Source organism: Homo sapiens, chromosome 15, assembly GCF_000001405.40.
Source record: "Homo sapiens chromosome 15, GRCh38.p14 Primary Assembly".
NCBI classification, from domain to species: Eukaryota; Metazoa; Chordata; class Mammalia; order Primates; family Hominidae; genus Homo; species Homo sapiens.
Genome location: NC_000015.10, coordinates 66,630,083 through 66,648,144, shown reverse-complemented (window position 1 = coordinate 66,648,144; position 18,062 = coordinate 66,630,083). Strand labels below are relative to the sequence as shown.

General features: G+C 52.7%; 1 long non-coding RNA gene across 1 annotated transcript in view, besides 1 other annotated feature; it reads right to left on the bottom strand.

Annotated features, from left to right (window-relative positions):
- The window catches only part of LINC01169 (long intergenic non-protein coding RNA 1169), a 103,609-nt gene that overhangs the window by 37,654 nt on the left and 47,893 nt on the right, over positions 1–18,062 (bottom strand). The window lies entirely within an intron of this gene.
- Positions 80–374: a silencer, noted in NCBI's record as "tiled region #14643; HepG2 Repressive non-DNase unmatched - State 22:ReprW, and K562 Repressive non-DNase unmatched - State 14:Gen5'". NCBI's record gives its function as "represses a minimal TATA promoter and a strong SV40 promoter by Sharpr-MPRA in HepG2 and K562 cells {active_cell/tissue: HepG2 | K562}" and the evidence as "EXISTENCE:reporter gene assay evidence [ECO:0000049][PMID:27701403]".

Below are 18,062 nucleotides of genomic sequence, written 5' to 3'. Positions count from 1 at the left end.
AGCCAGTGAGGCAGGCATCATTATCTTCATTGTATAGATTTGTAAACTGAAGAATAGATGTTTGTTAACTTGCCCAGCTAGTGAGTGATGGGGTCACGATACATAGCTGGAATTTTCAGACCACAGACCCCTGGACTTGCCCGCTGTGTTGCGGAAGAGAAGAGGAAGCTGCAGCTGGTTGAGAAGGAGCCCTGAGCCAGGGTCCGGCTCCTCCAGGCACTGCCTGTCTGTAGACCTCGGTTTCCTCCCTCCTAAAGTGAGGAGGGGGGTGGGTCTCAATGTATCCAAAGGACTCCTCAGGCTTCCACCCTATGAAAGAGAAGTTCTCAGGTCTCAGGACACTGGGGACCCCCACCACCTCCATGCTAGGATTGGGCCTGGGTCCCTGGGCCCTGGCCGCCAGGCTGGAACTGCTGGGATCAGGTGGAGGGAGGGGACTGCTGAGCTGCCGGCCCGGAGACTGAGATGGGGATGTCTGCTCCCGGCTGGCGGCCTCCCAAGGGTGCTCGGCTGGGAGCCTGGCTGGCCCAGGCTTTCCCCAGGACCTGATAAACCAGAAAAAAGAAAGCACGCTGTGAAGGGAAGGAAGCACCAGCAGACAAAGAAGGGAAGGGCACGCTGATTCCATCGGCTCCAGGCCCTCAGCCACTCTGGCGGGCCGGGCAGGGCTGGGCAGGGCTTGCAGACGGGCAGCCTGGGGAGCTGGCGGCAGGATGCTGGGAGCCAGCTACGTGGGGATCACTGTGCCCGCCTGTCCTTGTGCCGAGGCTGGCTGGGGTGGGGACTGAGAACAGGCCAGCAGGGACAAGCCCCAGCATACCAGCCCTACCCCTCACTGGAGCCTCCTCACAATGTACCCACGTACAGGTGGTGTCTTCGGCACTGTGCAGGGGGCCAAAGTTCCACAGCCAGTTAGCAGCAAAGCCAGGCTGGGACCTGGTTCTCTGGTTCCAAACTTTAGGTGCTCTTCCATCCCATACCTCACCCAAGTCTGCCAGAACCTGATTCTGCTGCCTGAGGAGGCAGGAAACCACTCAGAACAAGAAATAAAATAGAGCCAGCTCACCATGGGTCATCTTCTGTGTTATCTGAACCAATCTTCACAAGGGCCCTATAAGGTCAGCTATGTTATTGGGCCCACTTTACAGATGTGGAAACTAAGGCTCCTAACAGCTGGACCTTTGCAAGGTGCTCTAGGGCAGCCAGCTTTCCCTGTCTGGGGGAGGCTACAGGGCCCTGGGGTGGGTGCAGGAAGCCCCTCAGACCTTTGCCCCTGAGCTACAGGGCCTTCCCTGAGGGTTCAAAGGGGAAGAGTTGAGAGATGGCAAAAAACAGCTAGACTTTTTCCAAAATTAGTAAACAGAAAAGATATTCCAAAACCTGCAAATGAAAGGAGAAAGGAGTGGAGCAGAACTCGGCTCCGGCCCTTCCTCAGGGAGCCAGCGGGATGAATGAGGCCTGGGTGGACTAGCAATCTGCAGGGGGGCTTCCATATCCAGCTCTGCTACTTTCATCTGCAGCTCCGCCCACAAGATGGGACAATGAGCCCCCCCACCTCTGCGCCGCTGAGCAGAGCAGAGAGAATCTGGGCAAAGGCCTTGCATAGGGCTGTGCCCCATCACCAGGCTCCTGCCCCACCCAGCTGGCTTCAGCCTGAGGTTTCCAGGCATGCCGGCTGCAGCCCACGCACTGACCACTATCCCAGGGGACCTTCCTCAAAGTCTCGGGACTCTCCCAGATGCCCTCCAGAGTCAGCAATGAGGACCTGGGATGAGTGAAACAGGCAAGGAATAAAAGCCAGCCTGTGGGGCGTTAGCGAGCTAGCACTGCTGTGGGGTCCTGGGGTCCCATAATTTTGGGGACCCTCTGAGGAATGGGTAGGATGTGGCTCAGAATTGGTCCCCTGCAATTTGGAAGGAAAACATCACCCACTGGTTCTTGTCACCTGGGGCAGGAAGCAAGCACTAAGCTGGGCTGCAAGGCCAGGTGCTATCAGTTGACACCTGCACAGAGCTAGCTGCCCTAGCAAGAGCTGGAGTACAAAGGTAAGCAGTGGATGTGAGGGAGGGTCAAGGGATGCCTGACACCACATCTCACTGAGGCAGCTCCCTTTTCAGTCAATGGTCCCTGGGCTAGGGGCACCCAAGGATAGGTGTGACCAGACACCTGCTCTCTAGGAGCTCACAGCCAGGGAGAAGCCCTCACATACATTCTCCTACTGGGAGATAATGACCATCAGGCCCACCATTCTGTGCTAGGCCCCACACCATCTCCAGTCTTCCCAACAGGCCTGCAAGATAGATATTATTTCCATTTGACGAAGAAACACACTGAGGCTCAGAGAGGTTAAAAATCAACGTCAGGTGCGGTGGCTCACGCCTGTAATCCCAGCACTTTGGGAGGCCAAGGCAGATCACATGAGGTTCAGGAGTTTGAGACCACCCTGGTCAACATAGCAAAATCCCATCTCTACTAAAAATATAAAAATTAGCCAAGTGTGGTGGCAGGTGCCTGTAATCCCAGCTACTTGGGAGGCTGAGGCAGGAGAATTGCTTGAACCTGGGAGGCGGAGATTGCGGTGAGCCGAGATTGCGCCACTGCACTCCAGAGTGGGCGACAGAGTAAGACTCTGTCTTAAAAAAAAAAAAAAAAAAAAAAATCTTCCCAACATTTCATTCCAAGCCTAAGGCCTTCCCAGTGTTCCTGGTGAGGGTGGAATCCTGGCTCAGAGGATGGCCCAGGAGGCCAGAGAAGGCTGCCTGGAGGAGGTGGGGCTGGGTCTGCACTGCAAAGCTGAGCACACTTCCACACTTCACCCCGTGCTTGTGCTCTATCCCCTGGGTCTCCCCACAGTTACCCCACCCGGAGTCCTCAAGAGCATCTCACGATGACCTGAACTCACAGCTTATCAGGTTGGGAGGACCTCAGGGGTGGCTGGCCCAACTCCCAGCCACCCTTCTGTGGCAAAACTGAGGTCCAGAGAGGGACATGACATGCCCAAGCTCACACAGCACAGAGTGCACAGCCAAGATGGGAGCCCAGGTCTCCTCACTCCCAGTTCCGTGCCCTCTCCCCTTAGGCAGCAATGCCAGCTATTTTAAGGTCTTGTCTCCACTATCAAAAATGCAGCCCATCGGGGTGACTCACAGTTGAGCTTTTTTCTTCTTCTATGGCTGAATCTCCTTCCTGGGGTGTGCTGGGCTCAAAACAGAGTGCTGCAGGGAGCCTGGAGCCCCTCAGCGTGGGATGGGACTGGAAGGGGAGCCGTGGGGTGAACAGGGGGCAGCGGAACAGGGCTGGTGGAGCCTGGATGTGACAGCCAGAGAAAGAGCGGCAGAATCCTCCCTCTTCCCCTGCCAGGGAATTGGGCAGAGAGGACCCCCTACTCAGTCACTGGGGTATTCAAAACGGGTTTAGTGCTAAGCCTGGGTGACCTAAAGGGCCAGAGACAGGGGCTGGAGGAGAATCCAAAACACAAAACAAACATATAACCGCCCCCAAAGGAAAAGTCCAGAGTCTGAATTTTAAACAGGAAGAACAAGGCGTCAGGCTCAGAGGAAGATAACAGGGCCCGGCTGACCAAAGAAACAACAGAAAAAGAGCTGAGGAAAGCTGGGGGTGGGGGGTCGGCGGGGGGGTACATTCCTGCTTTGGAGCCTGGGCCCTTCCTGGCTCTCCCTTGCCTCTGGGGTACAGGGTGCCAGGGTCTACACCGCCACACAGTGACAGGGGCACAGGCCAGCCAGGACAATGTGGGAGGCCTTTTTGGAGGGGCACGGGGTATGCAGGAAAGAGCATGTGTCTGGGGTCAGGCAGAAAACAGCTGGAATCCTTGGGCAGGTGGCTCTCTAAGCCACTGTTTCCCCCTCCGAAAAATGTCGTTAAGAATATCTTCCCTGAAGTGTTGGGAGGACTAAGGGAGACAAAGAACGCGCAGGGCTGGCACACAGTGGGGCTAGAATGATCCACCATTCTCTACATGCTCAGCCCTGGTTTCTGTCATCCCAGAGACCCCAGGGGCCACAGACCCAATGCTGAAGGACTCTCAGAAGCACCAGGAACACACATCCTTGCCCTCAACAGATCCTGGCAACCTGGTGAATCCAAAGCCGTCCTTATGGAACCAGATGAACAACCTATACCCCACTGTATCCGTCTGCTTGGGCTGCCATAACAAGGCACACAGACTGAGTGGCTTAAACGACAGCAAGTTATTTTTTTCATAGTTCTGGAGGTTAGAAGCCTGAGATCAAGGTGTCAGCAGGGATGGCTGGGCGCGGTGGCTCACGCCTGTCATCCCAGCACTTTGGGAGGCCAAGGCAGGCAGATCACCTGAGGTCAGGAGTTCAAGACCAGCCTGGCCAACATGGTGAAACCCCATCTCTACTAAAAATACAAAAATTAGCTGGGAGTGGTGGCACGGGCCTGTAATCCCAGCTACTCGGGAGGCTGAGGCAGGAGAATTGCCTGAACCTGGGAGGCAGAGGTTGCAGTGAGCCGAGGTCGCACCATTTCACTCCCAGCCTAGGCGACAGAGCGAGACTCCATCTCCAAAAAAATAAAAATAAAAAAATAAAAAAGGCAGGGTTGATTTCTTCTGAGACCCCTCTCCTTAGCTTACTGATGGCCATCTTCTTCCTGTGTCTCTACAAGGTCTCCCTCTGTACAGGCCTCCCTCGGTATCCATGGAGAACTGGTACCAGGACCCCACCTCGGATACTGAAATCCACAGATGCTCAAGTCCCTTATATAAAATAGCACAGTATTTGCATATAAACTATGCACATCCTCCACTATACTTTAAATCATCTCCAGATTATTTATAATACCTAATACAATGCAAATGCTATGTAAATCATTGTTATACTGTATTGTTTCAGGAATCATGATGAGAAAAAAAGTTCATACATATTCAGTACAGATACAAACATCCTTTTTTTTCTTCAAATATTTTCAATCCAGAGTTGGTTGAATCCATGGATGAGGAGCCCACAGACAGGGAGGGCCAACTCTACATGTCTTCGTGCAGATTTCCTTTTCTGATAAGGACACTAGGCAGATTTGGATTAGGGCCCACCCTGATGGCTTCATTTTACCTTATTCATCTCTTTACTTCAAAAGCCCTGTCACCAAATACCATAACATCTTGAGGCACTGGGGGTTAGGACTTCAACATATGAATTCTTGGGGGACACAGTTCAGCCCATAACACCTGCTAAGTCCCCAACTGTCAAGTCCCCCCCATTCCAGGCTGCATCCCAAACCTGCTTTGGCACTGGAAGGAGCTATAACCGTCCTGAAGTCCAACCCTTGTTTCCAAGAGAGGGGAAGTAATTTATCCCACGTGATGCAGCAAATAAAAATATCCAGAAAGTCCAGGCTCCTGTTAGCACATCCAGGGAAAACACAGTCCAAAGAGGACAAACTTGAGTCCCTCAGCTGAGCATATCTGAAAGGTGATGTCCTCATGTTCTGTGTGTTCTGCCAGCTCAGCAAGTTTTGGGATTGCAGATTCGGTGAGGGAAGGGCAGGGGCACAAGTTGGCCTTCACTTTTTCTGGACAGCTGGAGAGAAAACTCCAACCAGTAACATTTAGGAGTGCCTACTGTGTGCTAAGCACTGTTCAAAGCACTTTACAAGAATTAACTTGTTTAAGCTCCACAACAACCCTATGAAATACATATGTGACAATTCTTATAACCATTTTGGAGAGGGGGAAACTGAGGCACCAAGAAGTGAAGCAACTTGGCCATTGTCATACATCTGACAATGAGTGTATGTAGCAGCACCAGGATTCTGGCTGTAGGGACAGTGTCCTCAGTGGCAATGCTTTCCCATACAGTGAGGTGTCACAGAAGGAGCCCTAGGCGGGTCACCAGGCCTGACACTTCTACCACTTGCTGTGGGACCTTGGGCAAAAGTCCTCCCATGTCTGGGCTTCAGTGTTCCCACCTGTCATATGACAGGTAAGATCAGATGACCCTTGAGCCCAAGACGAACCACCGCCTTCCCTCTTCCTTGCTCCTCAAGGCCTTCCCCAAGTCTAGAAGAGCAGCCTTTGGCCTCAATGTCATGGAACAAAGTCCCCTCCTCAGGGCTTAGGGCCTGGAGGGCTGAGCAGGGAACAAGGCAAACTCCAGGCCACATTGTCTCTGGATGTCCTCCACCACTGGTTTGCCCACACCAGGGTGGCCCTGGCCAGAGGTCAGCAGAGGAGAAAAGCCATCCCAAGCCCTGCAGGAGGCCCTGAGAACAAGTGGAGGAGGGCTTGGGTGCAGACAGATCTGTGCCTGCCCATGGGGAGCTGGTCTTTCTCCCTCTTCCAAGCCACCCCACTTGAGTCCCACCCCAGCCTAAGTTGTCAGACAGTGGGCCTCATGTCCCAAAGGCCTCCTAAGCCCCCACTCCACTCCCAGCCTCATCCCCTGGGGCAGAAACTGAAGACAGAAACTGACACAGAAACTGAAGACAGTTTCTGTGTCACTTAAACAGCTTGGATCTATAGTGGCTGGTGCACCAAACCACCGTAGGCCCTCCACAGAACGCTCCCCACCATGAATAAAGAATACCATCAAAGAACATGTGTTGACAGAGTGAAATGTTGTTGAAATATTGCCAATGGAAAAAAGAAAACTTCACAAAACAATCAATAAAATATTATTCTATGGTATTCAATACATATATACATACTGCTATTTTGATACAAATGCATGGAAAAAGGCCTGGAAGGAACTCCACCAAAACGTTCACAGTGGTTCCCCTGGCGGGGTCCAAGGTGGGGTCCTGGGAGTTGGGACTATGGATTTTCTTTCTTTCCTTCTTTCTCTCTCTCTCTGCTTCTCTGTATTTCCTTACCCTTGTATTAAAGTTAATTTCAGGGACAATAAAAAGACAAATTAATTATATAAGAAAACATGAAAAATGGAGTAATAATGAAAACACAATGTCCACACAGAGTATGCATACCTCCCATAGTAGCCTCTTCCCCCAACAGCTGTGCCTGCTATCTGAGCTCTCTTTACTTCACACACTTGCTCTTCACTTTATATTTTCTTTCTTTCCTTTTTTTGAGACAGGGCCATGCTCTGTCACCCAGGCTGGAATGCATGGCTCATTGCAGCCTCAACCTCCTGGGCTCAGGTGATCCTCCTACCTCAGCCTCCTGAGTAGCTGGGACCACAAGCATGCACCACCATGCCCAGCTAATTTTTTTTTTTTTTTTTCCTAGAGACAGGGTTTCGCCCTGTTGCCCAGGCTGGTCTCCTGGGCTCAAGCAGTCTGCCCTCCTGGGCCTACCAAAATGCTAGGATAATAGGTATGAGCCACCATGCCCAGCCCATTTTATAATTTTCAAAGAAAAGTCACATCCATTTGTGACTGTATCTGTCCTCAGGGGATGAGTGAGGCCAGGAATTACCATCAACGTATTATACATATGAGGAAACTGAGGCAAGAGAAGAGCTACGACTTGTCCCAAAGTCATCCAGCAAGTGAGAGGCTGAGTGGGCCTTACCCTCTGCCTCTAGATCCCTTCAGTCTGAGGGTACCCTCAAGGGCTGGGGATATCTGGGCCAGAGCTTTGGAAGTTGGAGAGCTGAGAGCAGAAGGCACTGACATGGCCTCTTTTGGCCCTAAATGAATCATTATGTTGCTCTGAAGCTTTCTGCCTCAGTTTCCCTAACTGCAGGATAGAACAAGCCTGGCCTCCTCCCTCTCCAACCTTCATGAAAGGATGGATCTAAGATGGATAAAGAAACCCCCTCATGGAAATATAGTCTTGGGCCGAGCCACATGCCATTCTGTCCTACGCCTCAGGCCTGGCCCCAAGAGCCAGGATTCCACCTTCTCCCGCCATCTTCTTGGTGCCAACAGCACTCCCCACAGTGGCTCTGTTCCTTCGTGGAGGGCTCAGCAAGTGCACTAAATAGAAAGGCGGGGAGAGGAGTGGGCACAGCACTGGCCCAGACACCAGGAACCTTGGGCTCTAGCTCCCTGTCCTGGTCACCGTGTGACTCAGAGCAGCCAGTCCTCCTCTCTGAGCCTCTGTTTCTTCCTGTGTACAAGAGGGTGAAAGATGTGCTTCTGTGGTTCTTCCAGAACAGCATTAATTGAGCATGGAGCTACGCTGAAAGACTCAAGCAAAACATCAGCAGCACCACAGCTCTCAGAGCCTGCAGCGTGGACACAGAGCCAGGTCACTGCCCAGGGTCTGGAAAGGAGCTCCTAATTTGCACTTGGAAGCCCAGCAGAGCCACTTCACGGTGGGTGACAATACTTCACTTCCCTGGGCCTAGGGTTTCCTCTATATAAAATGGGAGATCAATTCAGAAGTCCTGAAAGGCCAGTTTTTAAAAAACAACCACCACAATAACAACTGTTTCTCTGGCTCTTCTGATCTGGGGGATGGAAGATCAGAAGTAGCTAAGAATATCAGGGGGCTTATATAAGCCAGGGCTTTACAAATTACACCCTGTGTTCCCAGATATCCAATGTGATTGCTGCCTCCCCAAACCTTGATAAAAGGTGGGTGCTATTGGTGAGCAAGATCCAGAGACAGAGAGTTTCAGGGAGGGAGAGGCAGGGCCATCTGGAAGCCCAGAGCAGCCGACTCCAGACCCGTTTGGCCCCCGATCCTCTGGAGCTGTCCTGCTGGTTCCATAGCGTGAGCAATGTGGCCATAGAATAACAATAATAACATTAATAACAACGAACACTTATGAATCACTCACCTTGTGCCAGAAATGGTAAGTGCTTTATTTGAATTCACTCATTTAAACTTCAGGGAACCCTATGACAGAGGTTCTATTATTGACCCCCAACTTTCAAATGAGGAAATTGAGGCATGAGGAAATCAAGAAACATGCCCCAGGTCAGGCAGCTAGCAAGTGGCAGAGCTTGGCTTTGAATCCAGGCAGCCAGGCACCCCATGTTCACTGTCTTAAGCCACAGTGTCATACTGGCTTCCTGGAAAATGGTGCAGGATAGATGAGAGACCCTTGGAGGGCCCTGTCCTAGGTGGCATTGGCATGCCTTCTTTTTTTTTTTTTTTTTTTTTTTTGAGACAGAGTCTTACTCTGTCACTCAGGCTGGGGTGCAGTAGCCTGATCTCAGCTCACTGCAACCTTTGCCTCCTGGATTCAAGCTATTCTTCTGCCTCAGGCTCCTGAGTAGCTGGGACTACAGGTGTGCACCACCATGCCCAACTAATTATTTTTAGTAGAGACAGGATTTCATCATGTTGGCCAGGCTGTTCTCAAACTCTTGACCTCAAGTGATCCGCCCACCTCAGCCTCCCAAAGTGCTGAGACTACAGGCGTACGTCACCACACCTGGCCTGGCATGCTTTCTTATAGCTCCTTCTCTCCCTGCACACACAGGGCTTTTCACCACCCCTGACTGGGACACACATTATGAATACAGGCAACACATTATAAATATGAACTCTATCTCATAAAGGACCAGCATCCCATTGTTACCCCCACCACGCCCCGGCCTTGATGCTCCACCTTGCTCACCTCTGTGAGGCTTCGAGAGCTAAATTAGGCGAGTGCCAAGACACACTGTGCACACCCCTCTCTGCATAGAGACATGACTAGAAGGATGCTTCATAACCTCCGGTGGTAGGGTTTGTGGTTTCCTCTTTACACTTTCTTAAAACAATCACATGCATCATTTCTACCAAAATAATAAAACTGACAAAGCATCTGAAGGTCCGAGTCAGCTTGGAACCCAGGCCTATGTGGCTCCAAAACTTGAATTATTTGCCCTTTTCTGTAGCATTTCATGGAAAAACCTGCTGGTCTGGGAGATGGCTGGGCAGGACCCTCTTTCACAGGGAGGCTGGTGTTCTCCAGGAGTGGAACCAGCTTCCAATGTAACCAAATCAAAGGCCTGCCACCTCCATGAGGCCCTCACCCTCACTTGGCTGCTTAAACATTGGCGAAATGAGGGTCAGTCAAAGCAGAATAATTTCAGGGACTCTGAGAATATTTAGGCCATCAGACATTTCTCACGCCTTACATCCCACCAGTAACACTTAATAAACAATGGCCAGATGCTGTGGCTCATGCTGGTAATCCCAGCACTTTGGGAGGCCAAAGTGGGAGATCACTTGAGCCCCAGGGGGTTCAAGATCAGACTGGACAACATGGCAAAACCCTATCTCATCAAGTATAAAAATTAGCCAGGTGTGGTGCTGCGTGCCTGTAATCCCAGCTACTTGGGAGGCTGAGGCAGGAGGATTGCTTGAACCTGGGAGGCGGAGGTTGCAGTGAGCCAAGATCACACCACAGCACTCTAGCCTGGGCGACAGATGACTCTGTCTCAAATAAATAAATAATCATAAATAATAATTGGCAAAGGGACTATCTATGGCTTTTTAAAATCTCTGTAGGCTAATATTTTGTCAATGACCATATATTGCTTTACAGTAAGAAAAATAATTTTTCAAAATTATAAAATTCATGGAAATCCAAGATTTGACTCTTACCCTGGGGAAATAAAGTTTTTCTTTCTTTACACCTCTATGTAAAGGCTCTATGCTCAGCACGTTATACACATTATCTATAGTCTTCATAATATCCTGGCAACAAAGCAACTATTATGTCCATTTTAGAGAAACAGAAGCTGAGGCTCTGAGGCTGTGAGGCTGAGCAACTTGCCCAGGGCTGCCCAGCCAGGAAGTCACCAGCCTGGATTCCATCTCAGGCCGGTCTGACTGCCACATCAGGGCACCCTCTCTCTCCCAAGGCTGCTCCCTCCCACCTCTCCTGTCTCCTCCACCCATCACCCATCACACCTGACTCTTCTGGAGACAGCCTTGCCCTCCTCCCTGCCCTTCCCTCAAATCTGGCCTCAGCATCTCTGAGTCCATCCCCCAACCCCTGTGGGAGGAATTGGTTAATGTTCGTCCCACTTGGATCCTATAAAACACTCAGGTCAGCTGGGAGCGGTGGCTCACACCTGTAATCCCAGCACTTTGGAAGGCCGAAGCGGGCGGATCACCTGAGGTCAGGAGTTTGAGACCAGCCTGACCAACATGGCGAAACCCTATCTCTACTGAAATACAAAAATTAGCCAGGCGTGGTGGCGGACACCTGTAATCCCAGCTACTCGGGAGGCTGAGGCAGGAGAATCACTTGAACCTGGGAGATAGAGATTGCAGTGAGCTGAGATGGCGCCACTGCACTCTAGCCTGGATGACAGAGTAAGACTCCATCTCAAATAAATAAATAAATAAAATATAACACTCGGGTCCAGCCGGCTACATCCACGCTGTAATTAAAAGTGCATTTCCATGGCTCGGTGGCGCCCATGTCAGACTGAAGGCTAGTGTCCCACTCCTATGCTCCTGCCAGGAATACCCACCATGTCATTTCTGCCCTGTTGGCAAAAGACATTCTTTGTCCTTCCCAAACCACACAGAAACCCTCTTTGGGGGGCAGGGCCCAAATTGCTTGTCTTGATTCGTACCCTGAGCAAAGGTTTGGGAGCTGGACTGAGCCAGGCAATTCAGGGGTAGGCGGAGGCTGGGTAGGAAGGGCTGAGCAGACCCAGAAGGGAGGAGATACGGGATGGGCAGGGAGAGGACAGGACCAGGGAGACATTTCTAGAATTAAATTTTTTCATCCCAGAGTTTCAAACCCACAGGCCCCTGAGTTCCGGGCCAACGTCTAAGACCTACATGTGGGAGGAATGGGCCCATGGGAAGGAGCAGACCTCAGCAGCCTCAGGCTGCACTCAGAACCTAGACCAGAGGGGACAGAGCTAGTCAGGGCCAGACAGTCCTCCCCTGGAAGCCAGGAGGGGACAGAGGCCCATGTACTCTTCAGGGAGCCAGGCGGGCCGCCCAGCTCTTCCCCAGCCCAGTCCTCAAACAAGTGCCTCAGCAAACAGAGCCCCTGCCCCTGTATTATTTTCTGTGTAAACTTACTGTTGAGAGCTGTCAGGAGTTTGGGGTATCTTACATTCGGAGAACACACTCTGCTGTGAGTCCAAGCAGTACCCTTCCTCAGTAATTCTCAAATAGGCCTCTGAAGTGGGCAGGGCAGACAGGGTGATCCCATTTTACAGAGGAGGAAACAGAGGCCAAAAGAGGTGCTGAGGCTCCCCCAAGCTCCCACAGCTGGGCAGTGGCAGCACAGCTGGCTCTTGCAGCCAAGTGATTGGACTCCAAGTCCAGTGCTCTTTCTGCTGTACCCTAGCTGCCTGGAAGGACCTCAAGGTCAGGACTTAACCGCCCAGGAGAAGGCAGGGTCAAGAAGGGCAGGGGCTGTGAAGGGCTTGGTCTGCCACTGTCAACTCCGGGTTATCTTCGGCAATTTACTTTGTGTCTCAAAGCCTCAGATTCATTATCTATAAAATGGGGATAATAGGGTTATTCTGTGGTTTTTAGAATTGTGCCTGAGTGTTCAGTATGTTATTTATCATTATCAGTGAGCTGCGGGAGGGAGAGGCTTCTCATATGGCAGTCAGGAATGCTCCCTGGAGGAGGCAGGAGGTTTGATGGATGGAGAGGAATCAGACAGACAGAGGGCAAGCAGTTATAGGTTACAGGGAAGAGCACCGGACTGGGAGTCAGAAGGCTTGAGCCTTTGTCCCAGCAGTGCCACCACATCGCTCTGTGTCCCCCCTTTCCCACCAAGTAAAACAAAGCGGTCAGCTCAGATGAGCTCTTGGCCTGGCCAGTAGCTTGTCTTGATTCGTATCCTGAGCAAAGGTTTGGGGGCTGGACTGAGCCAGGCAATTCAGGGGTAGGCGGAGGCTGGGTAGGAAGGGCTGAGCAGACCCAGAAGGGAGGAGATACGGGATGGGCAGGGAGACGACAGGACCAGGGAGACATTTCTAGAATTAAATTTTTTCATCCTAGAGTTTCAAACCCACAGAGATTGGGGTTTCCTTACAGCCCGAGGGCTGAACCTAGAATTCTTTTCCAAAGCCTCATCCAAAAAGAATTCTAGGTTCAGCCCTTGGAGTGTAAGGAAACCCCAATATAATGTTCGTGATGGCTTTGTCCCCAGCAAGGGGAATGCCAGTGGCTTTTTTTCCCTTGGCTTATCTCTATGTGTTAACATTTTGACAATGGTCTGACTATACATTGTTATATAGTAAAATAACAATAATAGTAAGTTTCCAAAATTATAAAACGAACAGAAGTACTAGCTTTGATTCTTGTCCCAGGGCCTAACAGCTTTCTTCCTTTAATAAACAGCCTCCCTGTGACATGGTGAGACCCCTCCCTGGCCAGCACAGCAACACCTCCTCAGTGAGGCCCTACCTGATGACCCTGTGGGGATGAGTGCCCATAGAGGAGAAGGGAGGCCATACCACCAGCATTTGCACACCAGCAGCGGCAGAAGAGTCTGTGCCGGTGTGCACCCTACCGGGTAGGGAATTCAAGCAGCTCTCCTCCTCCTCCTGCTCCTCAACTCCTCCCGGGGCAGCCACACTCACCCCGATTCCTGTCCTCAGCCTTTTGTATCTTGGTGATAGTGACTAGCACCACCTGTGCTTCTGTGTTCTGGGCAACCTGCAACCTAACCACTGCACAGGGGCCATCCTGTTTAATCCACACAAAGCCCCTGCAAGGTGTCCAGCCTCCCCTAACATTGGCAGGACCCAGGGCCCACCTACTGCATGTCTAAATATTTAAAAGCTGTAAACCAAACCATCTTCCTGCCTTGACAAATGTAGCTAATGTGCTTTCAGAATGACTGGGAAGGTCAGGCTCAAATTTAAATTTCTTGAAGACCTCAGAGTTCCTCACCAGGATGGGTGGCATGGGCAAAACTGGACCCTCCCAGCCTCCCCGCTTCCCTTTCTACCTCCAGCTCTGCCCACACCGCCTACAAATGGGTGGCCCTGGGCTATTCAGGGCCATGGGGAGGGAATTGTGGGGTGCCTGGGGCTGGAGTGTGGTTGGGAGCCAGGGGGGTATAGGCTGTGGGTGGCATGTCCCCTTGGCCCAGCAGGCTACCTGCTCCATGAGGGGCTTGTCCAGATGAAGCATTTGTCAGATCTGAGGCACTACTAGAGGGGGATTCGATCATTATCTCCATTTCACAGGAGGGAAAACTGAGGCTCGGAGAGGCTAAGTCAGTTGTTCAAGGCCTTATAGCCAGGAGGCGGGAGGCTGGCTTCAAAGACCTGAGCCTGAGCCTGCCTGTCTGTGAGGCATGGCAAATCCCCATGCACCAATCTACAGAAAAAGCACCTCCAGTGACAGGACTGAGACTCAGGAAGCTCCATTCCAGGCTCACAGGGACATCAGCCCAGAATAAATAACTCCAGCAGACGGCAGAGGAAGCTTAGTGCTGGCCAACAAGGGGATCTGGGGAGGGACCCCTAGGAGGCTGCATTTCAGCCAGGCCTGAGGGAGGGGCAGGCTTTGGACCAAGGAAAAGACTGGGGAGAAGCTATAGGCAGCATTTACAGCGAAGGCAAAGGCTCTGGGGTGAGAACAAGAGGGCACACAGGGAGCAGCAGGCTGTTTTCTGTTTGTTGGTGTTGGCGGGAGCCTGGGCTGTGGAGAGGAGAGCCTGGGGAGGCATAGGGCGGCCGAGGAGTGGGGACTTCCTGCTGGGGGGGTACGAGCCAGGGAGGGACGCCGTGGGAGTATTGGGGAACATCTTCGGGAAGATGATGATGCCGCAGGGACCGGCTGTGTGGGCTGGGGTGCCCCCACTAAGAGGAAGTTCTGCCAGGCTGGACCTGCCTTGAGAGATGCTCTGGGCTGGGGTCGGCCAAGGCCACTCCAGGAGGGTGTCTGCCACCAGAATGGAATGCCTCAGGCCCACATCATGCAGGGGCTCCCGAAGGGGGAACCCTGATGTCCCTGACGTCCCTGCACTCAGCACCAGGCTCATCCTATTCTTATTACCCATTTGACAAACTCTTACTGAGTTCCTGGCCATTTCCCAAGGAGATGAAAGGCCCAGCCCTGCCCTCAAGGAATACTCAGTCCCAAGAAGGAGACAGACAGGCACTCATCTGTCGGAACCCTTCCCACACTGCCTTGCGATGTATGCACCCGCGTGTGGACCCCCTTCTAAGCCATGTAGGAGCGGTGTTGGGGGAAGGAGGGTAGTGCCTGGGGAAGGAGTCAAGAGTGGGTGGCAAAGAGGGCCTTCTAGGGAGGAGACAGCCAGGGCAGAGCGAAGGTCTGGGGCTAGCAAAGACACCCTGAGTTACAGCATAGGGAGGCTTTTCCCGGGGTGGGGCAGGGAGCGGCAAGGGGGCAGAGCTGACAAAATAGATGGGGGTGTTGGGGGAGGGTTCCTCACAGGCCATGCTAGGAGCTCAGACACTCCCTCTAGCAGTGCAGCGCTATTAAATGGTTTAAACCAGGGTGAGAGGGTGTCCGATTGTATGTTGGAGCTAGAACTTAGGGGATTCTGGGGAGAAGTGCACATTTGCATGTGTGTGTGTGTGTGTGTGTGTGTGTGTGTGTGTGTGTGTGTGTGTGTAGGGGGTGGTGAAGAAGAAACTGGGGGCAGAAGAGGCCTGTTGGGGAACAGTGGTCAGGGTCCTGATAAGAGGAGGAGAGGCCCGAACTCCTCAGGGGATGGAGAGCTGGCCCAGGCTGGGGCCATACTGGGGAAACAGGAGAATCAGGACTTGGTGACTGGTTGTCCCCGGGAAGGGAGGGGACTGCAGGACACCCAGATTTCTAGGTGGATGGTGTACTCCCAAGAGCTGGGGCAGGTCTGGAGAAAGGCAGTGAGTTTGATGTCAGACCAGCTGAGTGGGGGTGCCTGTGGGACCCCTCACAGTCGTGGGTCCACCCTCTGCCTTCACTCTGTCCCTCAGCCCCCAGTCTCCCACCCCCAGCCTCCAGCAGTCTCTGCCCAAACTGTCTCACAGCTATGGGGGCTTTGAAGTTCCCTCCTCCTTCTCTCCTTCCCCCTTCCCATGCCGCTCTCCACCCTCAGAGCTCTGGTTTGGCCCAGCCAGGCGCAGTCTGGTCTCCCTGGGCAGGAAGCCAGGGGGCAGCTGAGGGAGGCCAGGCCTGCTGTTTCTGGGGACTAAACCCCTGGGGGTTGACAGGCCTTGTATGACAAATGCGGTAGTTAGGGGCAATCCCCCACCCCCACTGGGGCTCCTGGGATCCAAGGAAGAGAGGTAAACACACAAGGAGTGCCCCATCCCTTCCTTCCTCTGCACAGAGACACACAGTCCCTGGCCCATCCTCACAACTTCCCCGAACAGGGAGCAGGGCCAGAATGTCTGACCCATTGCTCAGAGGAGGACACTGAGGACCAGGGAGGCCAGAGGATGCCTGCCCAGTCACATTCCCCCTCTGACCTCCGTGCCCCCACCTCTCAATGAGGAGGTACTGGGGGCCCCTGGAAGAGGATGGGAAGGTGGCGTGAAACCAGCTCTGCCACATCCCTGCCCTGGGGCCTGGGGAACAAACCTTCGCTGGGCTGAGCCTTGGTTTGCTCATCTGTAAAATAAGTATGACAGTGCCCACCTCCTGGAGCCCTGAGGACTGAATGAGGACATGTACATGACACAGTACAGCAGACCCAGCACCCCACAGGCCTGTTTCCAGAGGAAGAATTCACAACTCGCACGCTAAAGAATAGCCTGATTTTTTTTAAAAGATAATGAATTATTGAATTATTTTAAAATAATTCCAAATTATTTAAAATAATACCAAAAATTAATCCTTTAAAACTCCACAGCAAATCTGGGGCCCAGAGCATCCCCTGGGCCCCAGTCCCCCTGCCCCCTGACCACTGCCGCTACACACCTACCAGACACCCCCACCCACCCCAGACTGACCCTGGGAAAACACCTCCACAGGTTCCCCACCCTGGGCCAATACTATCCCTGGCAAAAAGCTGGGGGCCACCTTCCTGGCGGCCGGAGCCCAGCTCAGCCGGGTGGGACACAGTGGCGACAGCTGATAAGCCAGCCTGTTTAGTTCTGTCTGCCGCAGGCCTGGGGGAGGCCGGAGCTCGGCTGGGGCGGCAGACAGTGTGGCTGTGGCCTCTTCCCCTTCCTAGGCCAGCTTGGTGCCCCTGAGGCTGGGCCAGCCCCTGCTAGGGGCCCCTCCAGCCACTGTCTCCAGGCCCCGTTGCCGGAATGAGCTAGGCGTGGGAGTGAGCCCAGGCATGCGAGGCTGTGGCTTTAGATTATTTTATCTTTTGGAGTAGGTATTACATTCTCACGACTTAACAATGCTCCACAGGGCTTCTGTCCCACCTCTCCAGCACCCCCTCCCCAGTACTCCTCCGCAGAGGCAACCACTGTCGTGAGAGGCGATCTGCGGCTATACCAGCATGTACATATCCATGTGTATATATCTCCCTGCCACACTGCCCCTTGCATCCTCCTCTCAGCACTTGTACAAGCATGTCTCGGTGCACGGGCCCGGGTCTCTGGGCACACCTGAGTTCACATGTGCCACCTTCTCACTGGCCTCCAGCTCTGCCCACATGCCATCCCTCTGCCCAGGACACTCTCCTCCACGCCCCTTTCTCTCACCCACCTTCCTCCTTTGCTCAACCCCCTTTTTATCCTTAGGTCTCAGTTCAAATGCTTCTTCCCTGGGAGCCCTCCCCGGTGCCCAGGCTTCAGTCTTGCCCTGTCCAATGCTTCCATGACAGCCCGAACTTCTTTACTGTGTCTTCTTGGGAAGACCTGTCCAATTATCTGTGCCCCTACTAGATGTAGGGAAGCCAATTTGTCCTTTTGCCAATGACTTTCCCAGTTTGGGCAGTGATTGGCCCATGTCCCAGGAAAGCCATCAGGCCCAGGTAAACCAGGATAGTTGGTCATCCGACTAGACACAGAGATCCTAGAGGGCAGGGAAGAGGCCTGCCTCATCCATCCCAGTGTCCCCAGCACCTAGCATGGTGCCTGGCACCTAGAGGCTTCATAAGTATTTACTGAAGCATAAACACAACAGTCCTGCTTATGTAGCAATTACTCCAGGCCAGGCACCATTCTGAGCACCCTAAACAGATCAATTCATTTAATCTTCACAACAACCCAATGAAGCAGACAAAGGCTCTGGGGAGGTAAGGCACTTGCCCAAGGTCACACAGTCAGCAGGG